General features: G+C 43.1%; 1 protein-coding gene across 10 annotated transcripts in view; it reads right to left on the bottom strand.

Moving 5' to 3' along the window:
* The window catches only part of RTL9 (retrotransposon Gag like 9), a 97,487-nt gene continuing 96,264 nt past the window's right edge, over positions 6,760-7,982 (bottom strand). For all 10 annotated transcript variants that reach the window (XM_047442284.1, XM_047442283.1, XM_017029695.2 and 7 more), the window contains one exon: positions 6,760-7,892. In XM_047442284.1, the coding sequence (XP_047298240.1) occupies positions 7,773-7,892 (120 nt within the window). In that variant the 3' untranslated portion in view covers positions 6,760-7,772. The remainder of the gene's footprint in view (positions 7,893-7,982) is intronic.

Below are 7,982 nucleotides of genomic sequence, written 5' to 3'. Positions count from 1 at the left end.
ATGTCCAAAGGTGAAGGGAATTATCACCTGGTCTGGCTCCCAAATGAGAGTCAAACAATGGTAAAGATGAGATAACTGAGGCCCAGAATGGTCAAGTAACTTCCCCCCAAAGTCACACAGGTTGTCACTGGCACAGTTGGAATTTGGAACCCAGATTTTTAAGTCATTTTATTCTTCTCCCGACTCCCCACTTTCCCTCTCTTCCCTCTTCCTCTTCCTCCCTTCCCTCTCAGAGTGGAAGTGGTTAACTTTGGGGGATTGAATTATGGAGAAACTCTGAGTGGTGTCAGAATAAAAAAGGGTCCTATTCCAATGAATGACCACAGTAATGAATTCTGCGTTTAGGTTATTTTAGGTTTTGGTGGAAGGAGGAAGAATCCGCAAGACAGAGGCCACATTTCCCTGGGAATTCTCTTTTCAGTTCAAGTTCCTGGGCCTCCAGCAAACCTTAAAATATTAATATAAGCCCACACTCACCTTTGCTCTTAGGTAATCTCTGTTGCACAAGGCAGCAGCTGAAAGTTGTTATGGGTCTAAGCAGGGCCAGGAGTATCTGCCTCTCTAAACTCACCAATATCCTAAAGTGGTTTGAGGCAATAGCACATTTAGGGGTGGGCTAGAGAGCAAAGAGTACCACGGCTTCTCCCAGCATATTCTCCAGAGCGGAGCCTCCCAACAATATTCATGTCAATATGTTGCAGGATGGTTATCTTTGTAATAAAAACATATCAGAGGGAAGCTCAACATCATTATCCATCACAGAAATGCAATTGTATGGGATTGCTTTTTGGGGTGATGAAAATGTTCTGAAATTAGATTATGTTGATGGTCTGCAACTATGTGCATACACTAAAAAACACTGAACTATACACTTTACTTTTTATTTATTTATTTTCTTAGAGACAGGGTCTCACTCTGTTACCCAGGCTGGAGTACAGTGGTGCAATGATAGCTCACTGCAGCCTCAAACTCCTGGGCTCAAGCAATCCTCCTGCCTCAGCCTCCAAAGTAGCTAGGACTACAGGCATGTGCCACCACACTTGGCTAATTTAAATTTTGTTTTCTAGAGACAGGATCTCACTATGTTGCCCAGGCTCGTCTCAAACTTCTCACCTCAAGTGATCCTCCCTACTAGGCCTCCCAAAGTGCTGAGATTACAGGTGTGAACAACTCCACCCAGCCAGAACTACACATTTCAAATGGGTGACATATATGGAATGTGAATTATGTCTTAATAAAGCTGTTACCAAAATATAATAAATTTTTAAAAAGCTATTAGAGGAAATTGTGGGAAAGCAAGGGTCACTCTGTTTAATATCCACTTACACATCAGTGCTTAAACCAGTGAAATTTTCAGCAAAGTTTGTCAAAGGGCAGGGGCTTCTTTTTTAAAAATTTTGTCTGTTGTCCCAGGCCCAGCCTAGTTCAAAGTACAGCACGTTTTTTAAGAATGGTGAATTGTCTCAGTTTTGTCAGAAAATGTTGTTGTTTCATTCGTATTCTTGCATGATAGTTGAGCAGAGCAGAGTATATGGAATATAGAGGTCCAGAGTTTGGCTCCTCTAACACTGTATGTAGTTAGCCTAGATCTCTTCTCACTCCACTACACAAGCCTTAGAGAGCTCAACAACTTATTGGTCTGCTGTTAAGATACCTCTTTGTTTTTTGTCCCTGGGGATGTTCCTTCTTTATGTCAGGCTCAGTTGTGAGTTTTTTCTCACACTTTACCCAACATTTCTCTGAGTCTCCAATGGGAAAAACCACTTTAGGTTATCTACCAAGTTGCTAAAACCAGAAGTGTCTGGTGCCTTTTTAGTGTGTGTATTCCCCCTCGACGTTAAAACTAGGTTAACCATCCGTGGGAGAGGGGTGCTGTTGGAAGGCAGCAATATGGAGTATCTAAAGGACTAATCATTTTTCTTCCTTACCCACATTTCCCCTTTCCTGAGGGAGAAGTGAAAAGGAGGGAGAAATAAGTGATGAGAAAGAAGTGTCAGCTATTGGTGTAACCATAAAAATGCCTTCCACTTTCAGAATCCTATACCCTTCCACACACAATCTGGGTCCAAGACGTATATCTGCTCAAAGGGAAGATGTTTAGGAGAGAATCTTATCCTCCTTCTTAGGCCAGAGCTCAGAACAGAGACTACTGCACTCTGAGGCTACAGTGAGACCCTTGGCAGAATCTCTTGAGCTCAATAAAATTCCACAATTTTTGATACTTTTCCTTGAATATTGAAGACATTCCCCAAATACCTCCAGGAAGATTCACATCTGGATCTAAGACAGGGAAAGAGAAAAGCAGGGCCATTTTTGCTCAGGCCTCCAACTTTATGAACTTCAAATATCGGTCGCTGTTCGGTGGCAAATTTGTTCGGGAGAAGAGGGTGAATGCTTACAAGAGCCATCTGGTTCTGAATAACAAAGCTGTGCATACAGTGGAGCATTGCATGTATAGGCTCTAGGGTCAGACTGCACGTGCTCAAATCCCAGCTCTGCTGCCTCTTAGCTCTGCAGCCTTGGGCCAGTTACTTAGCCTTTCTGTGACTCAGATTCCTGGTCTGTAAAATAGGATTAATGAGACCATCCACTTCTCAGGGTTGTTGTAAAGATTACATGAGATAATCTAGATAATGTAATTAGTCCAGAGCTTGAGCCTGTGTTAAGTGCTCAGTAGTTAAGTGCTCCATAGGTGCTAATATTAAACTATGGCTTTTGCCAGTTTTCTGTGTTGGATTTACTTTTAAACCTGCCTTCACAGTTTAAATAGAACCCCTAAAGAGATTGGATTCTGAAGATGTCCCAACTAGTCCTATCCTAACCCATCCACTTCCCAACACCCTCATGGCCAAGCAAGTGTAAGAGAGGAAACATTCTTTTCCTCTACCTTCTTAGTTCTGTAATTGGGACCTGAAAATTACACTAATAAAAGACAGATTTAAACAGGAGGAAAGAAATACAAATTTTGTTTGATATTAATATTTCAATTGTTACATGCACAGGGGCTTTCAGAGAAAATAACTGAAGACACAAAGAAGTGGTAAGATCCAGAGGCTTATATGCCATTTTAACAAAGGGTGACAATTTATGGAGAAGTGACAAGACAAAGGAAAAGAGGCTTGGGCTTCTAGGGGAAGTAAATTGTGGGAAGGTAAATATATGAGTGTCTTGGGTGACAGGTGCACTAAAATCTCAGTCTTCATCACTATACAATTCATCTATGTAACCAAAAACCACTTGTACCCTCAAAAACTATATATATATAAAATATATATATATAATATATAATATATGTACTATATATAATATATATGAAACTAATAGAAGATACAGGTTATTTTAGAAAAGTTTGTTTATGCAGACCTATGTTCATGCTGACTTTCTGTCTCTAGTGATGATGATTGTTTTTTCATGGTACAGGAGAGGAAAGGAAAAACATCTTCACAAAGGGAAATTTATGTCCTACTTTAACGCATATGGGGGTGCAAAGAACTCTTTCTGCATTTGCTACTCCTTAATTGCACCTCTTAATTGCCCTCAGTTCAAAATAATCACAATGCTAAAGTGACATATTTGGCGGTGGCATATTCTGATCCCCCTCAACAGACAATAACAAGATCTTACATTTGTATGTCTTGCATTTGATTTTTCCAAGCACTATCACAAATCTTTACCCCACAATGCTGTGAGGTTTGCAGAACAATGATAATTACTCCTATTTTAGAGAAGAGGAAACTGAAGTCTCAAGAGATACAGTGTCCTACGTGTTTAAAACTATCCAGCTTGTTAGAGGGAGAGACAGAAGTACTCAAAGTCAAGTCTTGGCTGGGCGTGGTAGCTCACATCTGTAATCCCAGCACTTTGGGAGACCAAGGCGGGAACATCACTGGAGGTCAGGAGTTCGAGACCAGCCTGGTCAACATGGCAAAACCCTATATCTACTAAAAATAACAAAAATTAGCCAGGCAAGGTGGCAGGCACCTGTAATCCCAGCTACTCGGGAAGCTGAGGCACCAGAATCACTTGAACCCACAAGGCAGAGGTTGCAATGACCTGACATTGCACCACTGTACTCCAGCCTGGGCAGCAGAGCAAGACTTTGTCTAAAAAAAAAAAAAAAATACGAAAAAAGAAAAGAAAAAGAAAAAGAAAAGGAAAGAAAAAGAAAAGTCTCTCCATCCAGTGTCATTTCAAACTACTATAATGTCTATTCTCCTACAAATCTTCCCTTTGGTCATAAGAGATCTAGCAGCTTGCTTCCCCTGTCCCACAGTTGTTCAAGTTGCTTTCAGACCATGTGAGGAGGAAGAAAACACACAATCCATAGGGGGCCAGTCTCTCTATAGCATGAGTTATTTTATCTGTAATATTCTGATTGGAGAATGAGGTTGAGAGTGCCTCAATGTCTGAAGCAATGGCGTATTGGAAGAAATGGAGGGGAAGGGTCCCTCATTTGAGCTGATCAAAGTAGTCCAGTGTAGTCCAGTAGTCCAGTGGACTGAGCCTGGCTGAGCCCAAAGTGAAACTCAGAAATGACCTGAAACTGTCTGAGGAATTCATCATTCAGCAGCAACCTGAGCCTGTACTTGTATGGGAATAGTGGTCTTTAAGAGAAAGTTCTCTATACTGTTCCCTGAGGAGCAGAAACAGAGATGAGGTTGGTGGGTGAGAGGATGGTAGAAGGATGAAGGAAGAGGAAAGGTTGACATTTGCTCTCCAGCTGTGCCCCAAAGATTGGTTGTGTGGAGAGTGTTCCTGGCATTTCATCACCTGGAACAAAGTGATTTGGAAGAGATCTGGACTTACAGCACCTTGGGTGAGTCTCTACTCAGCGGGAGTAGAGACCGGGTAGAAAAACACAGAAATGGGGGCTGAAGTGTGGGTCTGGATAGAGGACCTGAGGGCCTTTGTTCTTGACACAGGAACCAAGTCTGAACGTTTGAGCAAGGGCAGGGAGATGTTGTTGCAGGTAGAAGCTGAAGCTGTTTTTCTCACGGGGGCCTCACTGAGACGCGTGGTAGAAGCAATGTTTTTTTGGTGTCCAGGTAATAATGTGTGGCACGGAATTCAAAGAGGCATTTCCACCCTTCTGGGGGAGCCATCAGTTCCATCAGCCAAGGCTACCAAAGAGAAGGCAGCACCACTAAGGCTCCACTCAGGTGTGCAGCTGTGAGCACTCCAGAATCCACGCCTCCTCTGAGGAGGGATTTCTGTGTTCTCACAGCCAGAAGCACCCGCCAGTATCTAGGTGGGGTGTAGTGGCTCCCCTCAGGTGGCAATGTGGGCAGCTGACCCCCATGGGGCAAGGTAGGAGTCAAAGAACAACAGGAGAGGACTATCTCAGAGCATGTGAAACTTCTGAAATCTGCCACAAATCATTGGGGGAAACCTTCAAGGGATTGAGATTCTGTAACACAGGTGGGGACAGGGGTCCATGACATCCAAGATTTTCCTACTTATGGGACTTTATTTTTACCCACGGACCAGTGAGGCCTGGAGAAACTTGAAACCCCATTTTATAGCAGATGAAATGGTGTCAAGTACTTGGGCATATGATAGCCCAGCTCCACGTAGATGCTGAGGGGCTCTTGAAACATTTCTAAATAAAACCTTTAGGATGGGTAGAAGAACAGGGACTGAGCTCTGGCAGGGTATGATTGGGCTTCATTTGTTCCATTTATCTCTAGTGATGCTAGCTTGAAGGAGAGGACAGCAAAAACAAAAAGAAGAAGAATGGCTAGGGAGAAAAATAAAGAATTGCCATCCTTCTCCATTATCATGGCTATAAGAAAATCAGGTTCATTTTTAAGACACTGTCCTTTCTGTATACATTTTCCAGGCATAGGTTGTGAATTCTATGTTTTCCATTTCTTTTTCAGCAGAGAGAAAACTCGACAGTGCTTTTCCTAGCTAAAAGCAAGCCTGGCTGAAAAAGGACGTCCAAACTCCACTCAGTCTTGGACTGGGCTAGGTGTAAGCCAACAGACCCAGAGAAGAAGGGGAAAGCTGGGTCCCTAGGGGCTGGCCATCTCTCTTTCTGGAATTCATATTTCCTGACTTATTGCACCTTCTTTTTCCTGAGGTAAAAGCACTGGTGATTGAGGCAGCTGCAGGCAACCCACACAGCCAGATTCTTATGTACAGTATCATGGGGCTGGCGATTTATCTGCCAATCTGTCTTTCCTGAGTATCATTTTCCTCTTCCTGAAATCAGACACAAAGTTTAGGGTAATGGAGCAGTGGACTTGAGTCCTGGAGCAGTGGACTTGAGTCCTCAGAGAAGGTTAGGTCTCTGTTCCTGAATTATCATCTCTGCTGCCACCACCCTAGATTGAGTCACCTAGCCAGTCAGTTACCTGGACTATTGCAGTAGAGGGCTCAGCTGCTCTCTGATCCCTTCCTCCATCCTGTCTCCAAACTGTTGCCAATTTAACTATATAAAATAAGTTTCTAATCATGTCTCTCCTACTATTGTTGAAAGATCTTTGAGTAACTCAATTATATGGACTACTATTGAATACATAAATTGGTCTTATTTGCATCAAATTCCCCATTGTCCTGATTTCTTCTCTTCACAGCCTTCACAATTCCAATCTAAGTTCAGTGTGTTCTTGTTCTCCCCACTCCATTGGAATGGAATGTTCATATCAGCAGGATTCTTATCCGTCTGTCCCCCAAAGAGTAGCTGACATAAGTTACATAACTAATATTGGTTGAATAAAGGACTCAGTAAATCAAATTCTAGGAGCCACAATGAACTCTTTTTTCATAAATGAAGTTTACTTACTTTTATAATTACAAATGTAACACATGCTTACTGTAGAGAATCTGAAATGTATAGAGAAGTAGAAGGAAGAAAATAAAAACTACCCATAACCCCACCACCTGAAGGCAAACACTGCTCACATTATGTTCTAGCTATCTATGCCTGTTTATAGACCAAGACCCTCATCAAGAGTGCTGGCCATGAAGCACAACAGCCAAGGGGAGTGAGAGCAATCAACAACTGAGGGGGTCACCCAGAGGTCAGAGCTAGAGAACCCCCACTGAGGGACAAGACAAAGGCCATAAACAACAGATCAAGAGGTCAGAAGCTGACAACACAAGAACAAGTTGTGTTACTGTAAGAATGTAGTGAGATGGTGCTTGTCAAGAGTTTAGCCCAATGCCTGTCACATGATACATTATCAATAACTGGTAGCCATTATACTATCACTATTATTATGGGTCAAAACGAATGGTTCAGGATGGATACTATAAACAGGGCAAGGACCCTGGAGACCCATTTTAGGTGCTATGAGTTGGGGCATATGGGGCAAGTCTACTGGGTTACAAGGGTGGTATAGGAGTGGGCATCGCTCTCCTTATAGGCTCCCCTGCCAGGTGAAATAGAACCAGGGCTTCCTCAAGTTTGCCTGCTGACACATGGCAAGATACGCTAAGGGTTTTTTGAGGTAAGATATGATTTATCCTGCCTAGACTTCTCCCTGGACCAAGAACTAGGACTGGCCTCGGTGGTGATGGGAGTTCAGAACCTCATACACCATACACTCTTGTAGTCCCTACTCTGATTGTCAGGGCAGGTCTTAGGCATGTGGGTGAAAGAGAAGGTCAAATCAGCCAAGTGAGAGGTAAGGTGGGATGTGCCTGGAGCGGGAGGCTGAAGGGTGAAGGCAACAAGGTTTATAATGTAGTTTAATGGAATGGGTCCAGGAACCAGTCCTCCAGTTAGCGGTCGAGTCAGATATCACAGGAGAAGATTCCATGGAGTTTTACTTGTTGGTATGGGCCTTCTGATGATGGCCTGTGCTCTGTCCAAGGTGATCATGAAGACCTTCTTGGGGGTCTCCATGCTCTTTCAGGTAGTAACAGCGTTTGGAAACATGCTGGTGCTGGGAGTGAGAAAAAGACAACAGAGGTAAGAGCCACACTTACTATGGCAACGGGTGTTCTGCCTGGATAAGTTCTGTGACTTAGCAGAT

This window comes from Homo sapiens, chromosome X, assembly GCF_000001405.40.
Source record: "Homo sapiens chromosome X, GRCh38.p14 Primary Assembly".
Lineage (NCBI taxonomy): Eukaryota > Metazoa > Chordata > Mammalia > Primates > Hominidae > Homo > Homo sapiens.
The sequence above is the reverse complement of the archived record's forward strand: the minus strand, read 5'-3'. Positions and strand labels throughout refer to the sequence as shown.